At 40.7% G+C, this 16,872-nt stretch overlaps 1 annotated feature.

Annotated features, from left to right (window-relative positions):
- Window positions 7,594-8,674: an enhancer, noted in NCBI's record as "amplified fragment containing the chr2:230195344-230196424 (GRCh37) CAGE-defined region". NCBI's record gives its function as "transcribed enhancer in THP-1 monocytes {active_cell/tissue: THP-1}" and the evidence as "EXISTENCE:reporter gene assay evidence [ECO:0000049][PMID:24670763]".

Raw genomic sequence — 16,872 nt, forward strand, 5'->3', positions numbered from 1 at the left:
TGCTATCCACAATAGCAAAGACATAGAATCAACCTAGGTGCCTATCAGTGGTGGATTGTATAAAGAAAATACTTATATATGCCATGGAATACTATGCAGCCATAAAAAAGAACAAAATTATGTCCTTTGCAGCAACATGGATGCAGCTAGGGACCATTATCCTAAGTGAATTAACACAGAAACAGAAAACCAAATACCACATGTTCTCAGTTATAAGTGGTAGTTAAACACTGGGTACACACGGACATAATATTGGGAACAGTAGACACCAGGGACTTTAGAAAGGGGGAGGATGGGTGGGAGTAAAGGTGGAAAAACTACATATTAGGTACTATGTTCACTATCTGGGTGACGGGTTCAATCAAAGCCCAAACCTCAACATCACACAACATATCTATGTAACAAATCTGTACATGTATCTCCTGAATCTAAAATTTAAAATAAAATTAGCTTCCTAAAATACAAATCATTCTACCATAAAGACACATGCCCACAAATGCTCATTGCAGCACTATTCACAATAACAAAGACAAGGAATCAACCTAAATGCCTACCAATAACAGATTGGATAAAGAAAATGTGTTACATATACACGTTTTTAAATTTAAAATTAAGAAAATAATGGACAGTCTTTGGATGCTGGGAATTGAAAGAAAATCCTAAGCAGAGGACAGTCATCTTACTGAGCAGAGGAGACAGAAATCAAAGTTCGGAGAAGCAGCTGGAAGTTGTGGAAGGAAGTACCAAAAAGAAAGAAGCCAGCAGAGAGGGAGTTCCAGAAGTCATCACAACTCCTCTTGAGTCTACTGATGGAAAGTAGGTCGCATATTGTAAGGAGAAACTCTACAAGGCCGGTTAACAATTATGAAAGATGGAAGCTGAACAATTTCTAGAGCACACAAAGGGCATGGAAACCTGTGAGTTCTGACCAGCCATACATTCAGTAGAAGGGATACATGTTAGCAAAAGGACAAACTAAACCTAGAGGAAACATAATTCTAAAGCTATCTTTAAGAAGTTTAAAAATAAGACTTTAAAGGACCAAACTGGCCAGGCCTGGTGGCTCACGCCTGTAATCCCAGCACTTTGGGAGGCCGAGGTGGGTGGATTATGAAGTCGGGAGTTCGAGACCAGCTTGGTCAAGATGGTGAAACCCCATCTCTACTAAAAATACAAAAATTAGCCAGGTGCAGTGGAGGGCGCCTGTAATCCCAGCTACTCAGGAGGCTGAGGCAGGAGAATTGCTGAGCAGGAGAATTGATTGAACCTGGGAGGCAGAGGTTGCAGTGAGGCGAGACTGCACCACTGCACTCCAGCCTGGGTGACAGAGCAAGACTCCGTCTTGGAAAAAAAAAAAAGAAGAAGAACCAAACTTATCCACAAGTAACTTAATCACTTGCCATTACAAAGAGCAACACTCTATAAAGGAAGGCAACACCCAATAACATAAGGAAGATACCCAATAACATAAAAATGCTAGACACACAAAGGATAACTTGAGTTTTAATCAGGAGAAAAATCAATCCATAGAAGTAGATTCAGAATGGCAGAAATGATGAATTAGCAGACAAGATGTTACCATAGTTGTGATAAGTGTGTTCAACTATTTTTAAAAACAACATGAATATACTTTCAAAGATAATAGAAGGAACTTTTGCAGATGAAAAATGCAATATCTGCAATGAGAAATTCACTGGATAGTATAAGTAGATTAGGCACATCAGATAAAAGTATCAGTGAATTTGAAGACATAATAGAAGCTATCCAAGGTGAAACACAACAAAGTTGATAAATGAATGAAGCCTTAATGACCTATGAGTAACGTAAGCATAATTGAAACTACAGAAAAAGTTGACAGAAAACAGTATTTGAACAAATGGCCCAAATTTTTAAATTATGCGAAAATTATAAACTTACACATTTAAGAAATTTAAAGAACCCCAAGTAGGACAAACACAAAGAAAATTACACTAAGACACATAATCAGTTTATTGAAACCTAGTGATAAAGATAAAATATTAACATTTTTCAGAGAAAAAAAGGCAAATTACATTTAGAGAAACAAAGATAATAATGACCACAAATTTATCATTTAAACACTATATAAATCCCCAAAAAACCCAATAGAATGACATTTTTAAAGTGTTGAAATAAGTGCATACTCTTAAGCTAGAATTTTATATACAGTAAAAATACCCTTTGAAAATAAAGGTGTTTTTCAGGAAAATAAAAATGGAGATAATTTATCACCAGCAGACCTGTAGAAAGAGAAATGTTACAGGAAGTTCTTTAGGCAGAGATAAAATAAACCAGATAGAAAGTTGGAACTATACAAAAGAATGAGGACAGCCAGAAATGGGAAATACGTGGGTAAATATAAATTAATTTCATCATTTTCCAGTTACTTAAAAGATAATTCACTATTTAAAACAAAAAAAAGAATAATATTTTGTGGACTAAAACATATGCAGAAGGAAAATTTATGACAAATACGATAGCACAGTGCATGGAAGGAGGGAACCAGAAACACCACTGCTGTAAGTCTCTTTCATGATGTAAAGTGATACAATATATTTGAAGATAGAGTATGATTTTTGAAAAGACATATGGCAAGCCTTAAAATAAAACAACGAATTATAAACCAATGAGGAGACGAAGTGAAATACAAAAAAATACTTGATTAATTAAAAAGAGGGTAGGAAAAAGAAAAATTAGAAAGGTATAGAATTTCAACATAAGTTTATTGATAATCACATGAAATATGAATGCTTTAAACACTCTAAGTGGTAGATTTTCATATTGGATAAAAAAGGAAGACCCAAATATATACTGCCTGGAAATTCACTTGAAATACAAGTCGAGTGTGGTGGCTCACACCTGTAATCCCAGTACTTTGGGAGATCAAGGTGGTGGCATCACCTGAGGTCTGGAGTTCCAGACCAGGCTGGCCAACATGATGAAACCCCATCTCTACTAAAAATAAAAAAATTAGCTGGGCATGGTGGCAGTCGCCTGTAATCCCAGCTACTCAGGAGGCTGAAGCAGGAGAATCGCTTGAACCTGGGAGGCGGAGGTTGTGGTGAGCCGAGATCACACCATTGCACTCCAGCTGGGCAACAAGAGCAAAATTCCATCTCAACAAAAAAAAAAGAAATGTAATTACATAGATAAGTAAAAATGAAAGGATAGAAGTAAATATACAATACAAACTCTAAATGCTAGAATATGTCTCTTCCCAAAATTCACATGTTGAAATCCTAACCCCCAAAGTGATGATATTAGGAGGTAGGCCTTTGGGAGGTGATTAGGTCATGAAGTTGAAGCCCTCATGAATGGGATCAGTGCCCTTATAAAAATGATCCAACAAAACTCCCTTGTTCCCTACTGCCATGTGAGGTTACAGTAAAAAGAGGGCTTTCAATGAAGAAGTGCATCCTCACCAGACACTGAATCAGTCAATGCCATGATCTTGGGCTTCCCAGCCTCCAGAACCATAAGAAAAAAATTTCTGTTGTTTTTAAGCCACTCAGTCTATGGTATTTGGTTATAGCAGTCTGAATGGACTAAGACACTAATGAGAAGAAAGCTGGCATAGCTGTATCAGTAATGGGCAACATAGGCTATAAGAAAAAATTATCAGGGGTAAAAAATTGTTTTCATAATGATAAGCAGAATCAATCCATCAGGCAGACATATCACTCCTAACAGTGAATACACCTAATTAAAGAGACGTCACTCCTAACAGTATATACACCTAATTAAAGAGATGTAATATAAGTGATGCAAAATCTGACCTAAAAGTAGAAATAAATACACAATTATAGTTAAAGATTTCAATACTGCTCTCTCAGTAATTGAAAGAACAAGAAACCAGAAAATCAATGAGAATAATCTTATCAAGCAACTTGACCTAACTAACATTTATGGAACATTTTATTCAACTATAGTAGAATACACATTCTTTCCAATACACATTATTTTCAATGCCTAAAGAAAATTTTCCAATATAGATTATATGCTGAATCATTTTAAAATTCTGAATAAATGTAATAGGCTGAAATAATAAAGATTAATTACAGAGAACTGAAATCAGAACCCAATAACCAAAAGATTTCTAGATAGCTAATCTCAAGATATATAAAAATTAAATAGGACCAGGGCCAAAGAAGAAATAGAAAACCTGAATAGCCTATAGCTATCAAACAAGTTGAATTTATCATTTTAAAACTCTACAAAGAAAACTTAAGGCCAAATGATTTTACCAGTAAATTTCATCATAAAAGTAAACAGTAAATTATACCAATTCTACAGAAATCTTTCAAAATCAGAGAAAAACAAGAAAAATACTATAAGAAAATAGCAAACCAGTAGCTCTCATGAATGTAGACTCAAAAATATTTAACCAAATATTAGCAAAAAAACCCATCAATACATAAAAAGAAAAGTATTTCATGTTCAAATATGGTTTATCCCTGGAATAAAAGGGTAGTTTAACATTAGAAAACCAGTCAATATAAATTCAACCATATTAACAGAATAAAGGTTAAAAAAAATCATATGACCACCTTATTGTATGCAGAAAAGACTTTTAACAGAATTAAACACTTATTTATGGCAAAATTCTCATAAACTAAAAATGGAAGGGAATTTCTTAAACCTGATAAAAGGAATATATGAAAAGTGTTCAATAATATGCTTAACAGTGACACACTGAATGCTTTTTCCTCTATGATGAAGAATAAGGCAAGGATATATACCAACACTACTTCCATGCAGCATTGTCCTGGAAGTCCTAGAGAGTTCAGTAGGAACTAAAAAGCAGAAAGAATGGAGACAAAGAAGGCTGCATTTACTGAAAGATGACATAATGATGAGTACAGAAAATTCTTTTAAAATTTCAAGAAAACGTGTAGCCTGAAATACATAAAAATCAATTATCTTTCTATATAATCACAACAAATAGTTTGCAAATGAAATGTCAAACATGAAGTTTTATAGAAGCATCAAAACATGAAATCATTACTGACAAATTCAATAACACATGTGGAAGTCTCATACTCTGAAAACTATATAAAATTGCTGAAAGAAATTAAAGGAGACCTTTGAAAAATGGACACATACATCATATTTGTGGATTTGAGGATTCAATATTGGTCATATGTTATTTCAACCCAAACTGACCCATAGATTTAAGGCAACCCCAGAAGGTTTTGTTTTTAGAAATTGGCAGGCTGATTCTAAAATGTATATAAAAAACAAAAGTACCTAGAATTGCCAAAATAATATTGAAAGGAATGGGCAGAGTTATATAACTAACACCAGCTGATTTCAAAACAGTATAGTTACGGTAATAAAGACAGTGGCACTGGTGTGAGGATGGTCATTTAGATCAACGTGGCCAAAACAGAGTCAAGAAAGAGAACCAATCAGATCATCAGCTGGTTTTTGGCAAAGATATCAAAGCTATTCAAAAGGATTTTCTTTCCAACAAATGGTACTATATATTCATTTGGAAGAAAATGAACATTGTCTCTTACTTTACACCATTTGCAAATATTAACTCAATCACAGTATTGTAGACTTAAATGTAAAGGCTAATCTATTAAAGTCATCTATAAGAAACAAATGCAAGAAAAAATCTTCATGATTTGGAGGAAGGCAGATTTCTTGGAGAGAAGACAGAGCATATAAATCATAAAAGAAAAAAATATAATTTGGACTGTATAAAAAATAAAGACATATGCCTTCCAAAGACTGCAACAAGAAAATGAAAAGGTGAGCCACAGACTGGAAAAAAATAGATACAAAACAGATAAATGACAAAGGCCAGGTGTTCAGAGTATATAAAGAAATGCTATAAATTAATAATAAAAAGACAACCCAATTTTTTAAATGGGCAAAGATTTGATCAGACATTTCATGAAGAATATATATAAATGGCCAAGAAACACTGGAAAAGATGCTCAACATCATTAGTCAAATTAAAATAATAATGAGACACTATAGTTGTGCACCCAAGTGGGTGATAAGTATGGTATCTGACATACCCAATTAAAAACACTGACAATACCCAATTTTGATGAGGACGTAGAGTATTTGGAAATGCTGTGCATCGCTTGAGGAAATGTAAAATTGAACAACTTATTTGGAAATCAGTTTGACAATTTCTTATAAAGTTAAATACACACTTAGCTATACAACTCAATAGTTTTACTGCTAGGTATTCACTCAAGAGAAATAAGGACGTATTTCCATGCAAAGACTTGTACAAATATGTTCATAGCATCGTTTGTAATCATCAAAAAGGGGAAAGGCTCAAATGTCCATCAGCAGGTGAATGGATAAACAAATTGTAGTATATTTGTTCAATGGAATGCTACTAAATAATAAAAAGGAGCAATCATGGGCAACTGCTTTGTTAAAACTCATAAAGTGATTCATAGACACAAAAGAGTACATACTGTATGATCCCATTTGTATGTCATAAAATACATAGACTTAAGTAGACAGCCAAACACAGATCAATGCATGCCTGGAAGCAGAGGTGGGAAAGATACCACAAATGGACGTAAAGAAGCTTTTTGGATGGCGGCTATGTTCTAGATACTGATTGTGTTGGTTAAATAGGTTTATACTTTTGTCAAACCTCATCAAACTGCACTCTTAAAATGGGTGCATCTTATCTTATTGTATAGAAATTGTACCTAATTAAAATGAATTTTGGAAAAATGCTGGTCATGGATTGGTAAAGAGGCTCTGGAGGAAAGATGATCAAGCAGCGATGGAGGAAGGTAGCAGTTTTCTGGGCAAGTTGGCCAGTGAAGAATTCCCATGGTGAGAAGGCTGAAATACTTTTAAAGATAGGACTAAGTCATATTAGATTTTCAGTCATTTAAGTGGAAAAGCCATGTTCACATATTTTCATTAAATTCAGTTGACCTACATGTGCCTTGTGTGAAGAGCTGATTTTCAGCTGGTAAAGTAGTCACATGAAACTTTTAACAGCCAATGCCAATTCTGACTGGGGGTGATTTATTCCTATTCTTTAGTGTTCATCTCCATACTTTTTTGGGTGTTTTTTTTCTTTTCTTTTTTTTTTTTTTTTGAGACAAAGTCTCATTCTGTTGCCCAGGCTGGAGTGCAGTGGTGCGATCTCAGCTCACTGCAACCACTGTCTCCCAGATTCAAGTGATTCTCCTGCCTCAGCCTCCCAAGTAGCTGGGATTACAGGCACGCACCACTGTGCCTGGCAATTTTTGTATTTTTAGTAGAGATGGGGTTTCACCATGTTGGCCAGGCTTCTCTCAAGCTCCTGATATCAAGTGATTGCCTGCCTTAGCCTCCCAAAGTGCTGAGATTACAGGCGTGAGCCACCGTGCCTCGCCATACTATTATTTTTTAATCCAACTCCAGCTTGTGTGAAAGCTTTTTGTAGAAAAAGGATGAGATCCATATCTGGGTCAGAATGGAGCACAGGAAAGAAAAGCTGTAGAAAGTGAGACACATGGTCTTGTGAGTCTGACCTCTGTTGGGTTCTCAGAGTCAGAAGGAACTGTGAGCCTGTGAGACCCTGGAAGTTGCCAGAAATTTTGGAGAGTCCATTGGCTGTTCCCTAATCATGAGCTAGGGGCCTGGAGTTAATTATTTTTGATGAAGTACATTAAATAAAAATAAGTAAATAAAATATTTCCAGCTGTCCTTTGAAATAAATAAAATGTTTTATTTATTTCAAAGGACAGCAGACAGCTGGCATATGAGCTATGCCTTCATTCACCCCATGAGCTATGAAATCACTCTTTCTTCCTAATGGGTTCTGTGCCTTGTACAGATATCTGTGATTGAATCTGTGAAATACTATAGTCTCTGGACTCAGCAATGAGCTGGAGGTCTAATTAATCTTTATATCCTCAGCACCTCGCATAGGATTTGGCACAGGAAAGTCACTCCGTAAATGCTTGTTGAAGTAACCTTTGGTTCTTAATACAACCAAGACTTCCCATCGTTCATCAAGTCTTGCCCTTATTTAACTGTCATCAGTACCCTGGTCAGGGTTCATTTCCATGCTTCCCCCTCCTGGCTTCCTCATTTCTTTATTTTTTTCTCTTGCAGATGGTCCTGTGGTTTCACTTCCTATTTGGTTTCTGAACTCTCTGAGCACGAGACTTGGAGACGTGGAGTCCTTTCACTGCAGCTTTCAAAACCTTTCTTAGGGCTGATATGACAATTGCTGGCACTGCGTAATTGCTGTGTGGCTACTTGAAAACTTCTCCACTAGAGACTCACTGAGAGCACCTATTCTGTTGAATGGATTTGGCACAAGGAGGAGGAGAGAAGACAAATGGCCTGGGCTGGTAAGAGACAAAAGTGCCGTGTGTGAGTCTTGGCCCACCTACCTGCTGTGAGACTCTGGGCAAATCACCTGGTCCCTCTCTTCCCACATCTTCTGATGAGCCTTGCTGCCTATTTCCTGAGTAGCTCAGTGGCCACCAGAGACCCCAGGCTCTTTATCAACATTTCAAGATTGTGTAAGTTCTGGCATTTTGTACATTATCAAAAAGAGAAGGCTAAGACCTAAGTCAGGCTAAATTTGATTCAGGAAAACACCTGACGTTTTTGTACTTAAGTATCGAGGGGTAAATCACATCTTTTGCACCTGAATCCGTAAGAACTGTGGCCTAACCCTCTTCTTCTGGAGAACTCACTTTCCTGTCTTTCTGAGACTCCAGCTAGATAGTCCTTTGGCAGATGTTGACCCCATACTACCTTCTCCGTGGGCAACATCTGAGTGCATGGTCTACCTTAGTGAAGGACCTCTCCTTGCCCCTGAAGCACTTCTATCATCCTGGACCTCAACGTGGAATGGTGACCCCTACCTGCCCCACCAGTCACGACCACCTTCTTCCAGCACCTCCAATGTGTCTGCCCTCCAGCACCACCTGCTCCCAACGTAAGACTGCTGGGGTGAGGTTGCAAAACTTGTGTCTCCCTTAAGTATGGCTTCTGTACAGGTTTGTACCCAGTTGTATTTTAATTAAAAGCTTGGCTCTCTAACAATGCAGGTTCTAAAGAGGCCTTAGTTTGCTCCCATTGCCAGTCTTCTTAGAGACTAAATTCAGTCAGCGGGGGAAGGCTTTGCCTCTGCTTAGGATTGGAAGCCTCCATATGCATAATTGCAGAGGGGCAGTAGAGGAGACTAAATGCTTATCTAACCTATGGTTTTTATCAACGGTGGTCGGTTTGTTATTATTTTTAAATGAGTTAGATTCACTTTAAGATGTAAATGGAAAATGGCTCCCAAGTTGTCACAGGCACAGTGCCAAGTATTTCAGACACTTATGAATATCATTAGATAATTATCATATTTGCTGTCAATAGCACTCATTAATCTCGTGTTCAGGGAGAGGAGCCCTTCAGAGCATAATTGCTGCAGTTAGAAACATCTCTATCCCAAGTGCCAAGCAATTCCATGTGACCTTCCCCTATAGACAACCCCATAGTTCTATGTGATGCCATCCTCTGTAGCCACACACCCCACCAAATTCACAGCACCTCTGCCTTTCCCCTAAGTAACTAAGGGTCTCATTCAATTCCATTCAACCAAATGTATGGACCTCCTTCTGTGTGCCAAATGCTGCCCTTGTGCTAAAAAACATAGATGTTCCACCTCAAGGTGTTCACAGTTTAGCGTTGCTGATAAAAAGGCAAGCAAATAATCTCAACTCCACGTAACATGCGCAGTAGGAGAAAGATGTGCAGATATGGTTCATTAAAAAGGAGTTACGCCTATAATCCCAGCAACTCAGGAGGCCAAGGAGAGAGGATTGCTTGAGGCCAGGAATTTCAGACAAGCCTGGGCAACATGGCAAGACCCCATCTCTAAAAATAATTAGGCAGGTGTGGTGGCACACACGTGTAGTCCCAGCTACTCGGGAGGCTGAGGTGAGAGGATCGCTTGAGACCAGGAATTGGAGGCTGCAATGAGCTATGATGGCACCACTCCACTCCACCTCCAGCCTTGGTGACAGAGTGAGACTCTGATTCTAAAAAAAAATAGAAAAAGAAAAGGAAGGAAGGGGCTCTCTCTGGAAGACCAAAAGAGGTCACCCAAAGAAGGTGATGTCTGTCTGCCTTTTAAAGAATGAATAGGAGTTTAGAATGCAGATTGACTGGAGGAAAAGTATTGCTATGTGAGGCTCCATTGCTTCTTCTTCTCTGCATTCTCACCCCCACGTTAGTAGACATATCTAGGGTACTGGGAGGTGGAAAATAAGAAGATAGAGTGCCCAAGGGATTTTACTTTTGAAAGGAAAGATAAGACTAGCTGGTGAGAAGAATAGATTGGCGGGAGGCCAAATGAATAATAATTACAGCAAACACATTACCACACTTACCAGATGCTAGGCGTGGTTCTAAGTGCTTTACAGGTATCAGCTCATGTAATCTTTGTCCCCATCTTATAGATGTGGAAAAAAGATTAGGTAATGTACCCAGAAACACACCGCTGGGAATGGGAGGGTAGAGAGTGAAACTCAGGCCTGCTGGTTCTTTATTCTGACAACTGTGAAACTACAGTAAAGGAACTATCCGGCCACATTTGGCGAATGCTTTCATTGAGAGCTGCATTTGAGGGGGAAGGGGTGAAATGCAAATGAAAGATACTGAGAGTAACCAAAGTGCCAACAGAGGACTTTTTTTTTTCTTGAAACTGAGTCTCACTCTGTCACCCAGGCTGGAGTGCAGTGGCACCATGCTGGCTCACTGCAACGCAATCTCTGTCTCCCGGGTTCAAGCGGTTCTTGTGCCTCAGCCTCCCAAGTAGCTGGGATTACAGGCATCCACCACCAGACCTGGCTAATTTTTATATTTTTAGTAGAGATGGGGTTTCACCATGTTGGCCAGGCTGGTCTTGAACTCCTGACCTCAAGTGATCCACCAGCCTTGACTTCCCAAAGTGCTGGGATTACAGGCATGAGCCACCAAGCCCAGCCCCAACAGATAGTGGGGCAGTGGCGCGATCTCGGCTCACTGCAAGCTCTGCCTCCCAGGTTCAGCCTCCCAAGTAGCCGGGACTACAGGCGCCCGCCACCATGCCCGGCTAATTTTTTTGTATTTTTAGTAGAGACGAGGTTTCACCGGATTAGCCAGGATGGTCTCCATCTCCTGACCTCGTGGTCCGCCCGCCTCGGCCTCCCAAAGTGCTGGGATTACAGGCTTGAGCCACCACGCCCGGCCTCCAACAGATAATTTTTAAGAAACTTTGCTATTTCTTTGCCCCCATGCCTGCCCCTAACACACATCACAGCTTTAGGTGTTTCCTCAACAGGCTATAATAAAGATATAAGTTGTCTCCCATGGTTTCGTATTCTGCTGAGCTAGTTTTTCTTTAAATGTGATGCCCTGCTGAGACTAGCACTGTCTGGGAGTGAGGGGAGCAATCAGTATGAGAAGAGTGTAAACTGTTCAGACAGAGGTGGCCAGATTAGGGAGAAAGTGACACAGAGGAGGGCACTGGGTGTTCCAGGGATGCAGGGGCAGCCTATGCATGGACATGGGACAACCTGCTGTTTGGGGAATTTCTCTGTAACACATGATGACAGAATTGAGTTCATTTTCCATCTCTTCCAGATTAGCCCAGAGACCATGTCCCAACAAAATGCCACCAGGAACTCATGTGGGACGGAGCTGGAAGATGCCAGCGGTTGCCCCTTCCCCATGTTAGTGCCTCTTTTCTCCGCACCAACCCTCAGTTCACACCAGAATGAGACTGCCTGCATTCACTTTCTGCTCTTACTTCAGAGAATGTGGCTTATTCTCAGGCAATGAACCAGAGGACAACAGACATTTTCTTTGAGGGAAATGCAACTTTTTGAAATTAAAAGGGCATTTTGTTTTAATTGAAGAACATTCAGATCAGAAACTGGGTTAAAAATAAACACTGCAGAGCCAGACACAGTGGCTCAGGCCTGTAATCTTAGCATTTTGGGAGGCCAAGGCAGGTGGATCACTTGAGGCCAGGAGTTCAAGACCAGCCTGGCCAACATGGCAAAAGCCATCTCTACTAAAAATATAAAAATTAGCAGGGCATGGTGGCATCGGCCTGTAATCCCAGCTACCTGGGAGGCCGAGGCATGAGAATCGCTTGAACCTGGGAAGCGGAGGTTGCAGTGAGCCGAGATCATGCCACCACACTCCAGCCTGGGCAACAGAGCGAGACTCTGTCTCAAAATAAAATAAAATAAAATAATAAGTAAACCCTGCAGAATCTGAGAGAACAGAGCTCTCGATGTGGGGGTCTGATCAGTTTTCCAAGCGTCAACAGACTGGTCCTTCCTAGGATGCGTGTTTCTTCTGCGGTCGTGTTTACACATTGGTTTCTGGCAAGAGCAAAGTGTTTGCTTGTGACCTTAAATAAAATGCAGACATCACCTCACTGAGTCTCATCAAAAGCAGAACTTGTCCTCTCATTCATCTTTGTCAGACCAGCAGGAGCAGCCAGGCTAGGTCATCCAGGGTGACAGTCTCCTTCTCCATGGAGGTGAAGATTTCATCCTGCATTCTGCTAATCGGGCTTGGGCCCGCCTTAACCCTGTGAGTGGTTAACACTCCATTAAGCCCCAGCATTTCACTATGGATTGTTTCTCACCAGGATCCGGGAATTAAGGACCATACAGGTAAGTGTGGGGTTGGTTTTCAAGGGTGCTCAACAGATACAGCCCTGGACTTTTAAAATAATATTCCATTATTCATTTTAAGGACCCCTCTTCTCTCTTTAAAAGTAAGATTCCTGCATGAGATCCAGACTTACAAACTCTCCGATCCCACTCTATGCCCCTACCTCTGGAACCCTCTACCTCTCCTGGAGGATGGTTCACAGGATGTGGGAGGGCCCAGGGGGAGCTGCAGTGGGGTTGCTGCCAGTCTGCAAGTCGGAGGAGAACTGTTTATCCTATTAGCAAAACCAACAGAGCCTGGCTTCGCCCTGCACTGAAAATTCCCCAGGGCACTGAGCAGCCTATGACAGACTATTTTGGAAACTGCTAGAAGAAGGGATCTGTTCAATGTTATTTACAATCCAGTAAACCATAGCATTTCCCTGGTCTAGCCAGATTTCTAACTGACCAGACCAAACTCTGCAAAGCTTTTCTAGTGCTCAGCAAACGTGGTCAGCTCACGGAAGAGCTGCTCATATTCCAGGTCATCATCTGAGCCTGAGCACGCAGCTACCATGGCCCCAAGCGACATGCACACATCTGGCAGGCACACTCAGTCCTGATTCTGTGGGGACGGATTGGGAGGGACAGGCAGACACAGGATGGTGGAAGAGTTGGGACTGATGTGGATCAGGGAAATGGCTAGACCTAGAATGTGTTCAGCAGACGCAATTCAGGCCCAACTTGCTCTCTGGTTCTCTGCAGAGATATTTCACAGGCAGTAGAAACTTGCTTGGATTAAAGTAACAGTTACAGCAAAAATTATATAGATAATTACTATTTATAAACACTTACATTTTCAGATAATTTTTAAAAATTTCATTCACATGTTATGAAAGTAATACATGGTGATTTTAATGTTTCAGTCAACCCAGGCTTGTCTAAAACAATGCCTCTCTCAACATGTAATGTGTATTCAACACACCTGAGAATCTTGTTATACTGTGGATTCCAAGCAGAAGGTCTGGGGGTGAGGCCTGAAATTCTGCATTATTTATTTATTTATTTATTTATTTATTTATTTATTTATTTATATTTTTTATTTTTTGAGACTGAGTCTTGCTCTGTCACTCAGGCTGGAGTGCAGTGGTGCGATCTCGGCTCACTGCAACCTCCGCCTCCCAGATTCAAGCAATTCTCCCTTTTCAGTCTCCCAAGTAGCTGGGACTACAGGTGCACGACACCATGCCCAGGTAATTTTTGTATTTTTAGTAGAGACAGGGTTTCAACTATATTGGTCAGGCTGGTCTCAAACTCCTGACCTTAGGTGATCCACCCACCTCAGCCTCCCAAAGTGCTGGGATTACAGGCGTGAGCCACCACACCTGGTCAAATTCTGCATTTTTTAAACCAACTCCAAGATAATGCAGATGATGCTATTAGGTTGGCACAACAGTAATGGCAAAAAACACAATTACTTTTGTGCCAACCTAATACAATGAGGCTAATAAATTTGGGTCTAGAAAATGTAACAGTCTCCCTCTATCACCAACCCACTCACAACCCATCTCTCTGATTATATTTAAGGCTATATTATGTCAGGTTCTATTATTCTATAATCTGTGTTCTTTACTAACCATAGAGAATGAGCATCCTTCCAGGTCAATGCCAAAAATGTAACTCATTCTTTTAACTGTATGCACAGAATTCCATAGGCAAAATGCCATGATTTATTCACTTTGCCCCTTACTGAGAGGGGGGATGTTTCTAAGTTTGGAGCCATTTTTAAGCTCACCCATATTCATCTTCTTTCTCTGTAGCTGAGAGAGGGACATAATTAGCAAGCTTACCTGGGCCTCACACCAAGCTCTGTACTCTTCCAAGTGAGGAAAGGTAGTTCAGAATGTCTCAGAATGAAATAATTGAACCAAACTCCACAGCAGACAGGAGCATAACTTTTCTGATTCTCCAGCCAAAGTATGATTCCTGCAAGAGATCTTGCTGGTCAACTAGGAGGCCCATGACATCACGGGATAAACAGAGTTCATCTTCCTTTGTGGCCAGTTTTACTTGAATTCCGTGGAGGCAAATCAATTCCTTATTTTCATATTAAAACACACATGTGTAATCAAAAATAAAACATAAAATTCACAGAAATTTTTTGATTAAATCATGAAAGCTCCAAAATATTTTCTTGCCTGTGGCCAGTTGCTTTAGACTCTCTGGAATACAGCTTATGCCTCTCTGCACTTAAGAGCAGTGTAAACGTAGCATTGAGAATCAGACATTAACTTGGTGCCACACCCTTATCTACAGGTGAGAAAACTGAGGCTCAGGGTGGTTGACTAACCTTAGACAGCTGATAAATTACAGCAGGTGAATAAGGTAGTCTGGACTGTTAAGATGAAAAAGCTTGTGAAGCTTTGCAGAGCTGAGAATGGTTTATAAATCACGATTTTAGTTCTGCAGTGGTCAAACCTTTCTGCATATTAAAATCAGTAGAGAAGCTGTTAAAGTCCCCAGTGTTCAGGTCCAATCAACACCAATTAAATTAGAGGTTTTGGGGGTAGGACCTAGATATCAGTCTTTTTTATAAATTCCCCCATGTGATTGCAGTGTTGAGCCAGGGTTGCCAGATTTCGCAAATAAAAGTATAGAAGACTCAATTAAATTTGAATTTCAGATAACTAATACATTTTTTACTCTAAGAACATCCCAAATATTGCCTGAGACATACTTAAGAGTTACTCATTGTTTATCTCAATTAAAATGTGACTAGGCCTCCTGAATTTTGTCTGAGCCCTCCCTGATGCAGGCAAGTTTGAGAGCAAGGCTTTAGGGGAAGTCTTTGACTGCAAGGGGGCCCAGGCAGCACTTCAAGGTCAAGGTGCCCAGCTCTGCACACTGATGGGTAACCCTCCATCCAAATTTGCCCAGTCTGAGATAGGATTCAGGAACCAGGTGGATGGCATCTTTCGAATCAACAGGGTCCTGGGCCTGACACTTGTGACTGTTCTCCAAAGACAGAAACACGGTGTAATTTATGGAAAAGTGAGTGAAGCAGGTGGTAGATATTAGTGGTTCACGATGCTCTGCTGCATGTAGTTTACGGCTTGCCAAAGCCTCTTTTCATCTGGTTCTGCAGATGTATACACAGGGCAAACAGTTGAGCCTCTGACCAGACCCTGAAAAAAGCTTAAATGCTCCCAGCAGGAGAAAGTCCTTTCTCATAAACACCAATTTCCTGCCATGAGCATCTCTGCGTTTTCTGAAAGTGACTACAGGTTGGTACTGGAACCCCCCTTCTTCCCCCCAACTTCTTGTCTCCTAGACCTGGTGACCGGGACACTGAGAAGCCCTCTGCCTACTTTTGCTGAAGTCTCTCAGGATTCAAAATGCAACCAAGCTGGGTACAGTGTTGCATACCTGTGGTCCCAGCCACTTGGGAGGCTGAAGCAGGAGGATTGCTTGAGCCCAGGAATTTGAGGCTATAGTGCAGTATGTTTGTGCCTGTGAATACTCACAGCACCTCAGCCTGGGCAACATAGCAAGACCCTATATCTTTCAAAAAATGCACCAAACCAGCAAGAAACAAAATATTTGTAAACCAGTTAGAATGGCAAACACTGAAATGATGAAAAGAGAAAGACAGCCAGGCATGGTGACTCACACCTGTAATCCCAGCACTTTGGGAGGCCCAGGTGGGTGGATCTCCTGAGCTCAGGAGTTTGAAACCAGCCTAAGCAACATGGCAAAATCCCGTCTCTACCACAAATACAAAAAAATAGCCAGGCGTGGTGGCGTGTGCCTGTGGTCCCAGCTACTTGGGAGGCTGAGGCAGGAGGATCATTTGAGCCTGGGAGGTCGAGGATGCAGTGAGCTGAGATCATGCCACTACACTCCAGCCTGGGTTACAGAGGGAGACCCTGTCTCTCCACCACCCCTCCCCTACCCCGAAAAAAAAAAGAGAGAGAGAGAGAGAGAGACTAGCCCTGGGAGCCAGTTGTTTTCTTCCTGGAACTGGGAGGTGAGGGTGCCAGGTGAAATGCTGACAGGTGGCCTCCACTGGAAGCCAGCAGCTGCTGGCCATGCAAAATTGTCTAAGGGAGTCATTCCATGGGCCAGACCTCCCAGAGCTCAAGAATTTCCAAATCCATCGTGACTCACAAACAACGAACTTATTACCAGGAAACATTGCTGTGAGCCACCGTGTTTGTCAAAG

The sequence above is a fragment of the Homo sapiens genome, chromosome 2 (genome assembly GCF_000001405.40).
Source record: "Homo sapiens chromosome 2, GRCh38.p14 Primary Assembly".
NCBI classification, from domain to species: domain Eukaryota; kingdom Metazoa; phylum Chordata; class Mammalia; order Primates; family Hominidae; genus Homo; species Homo sapiens.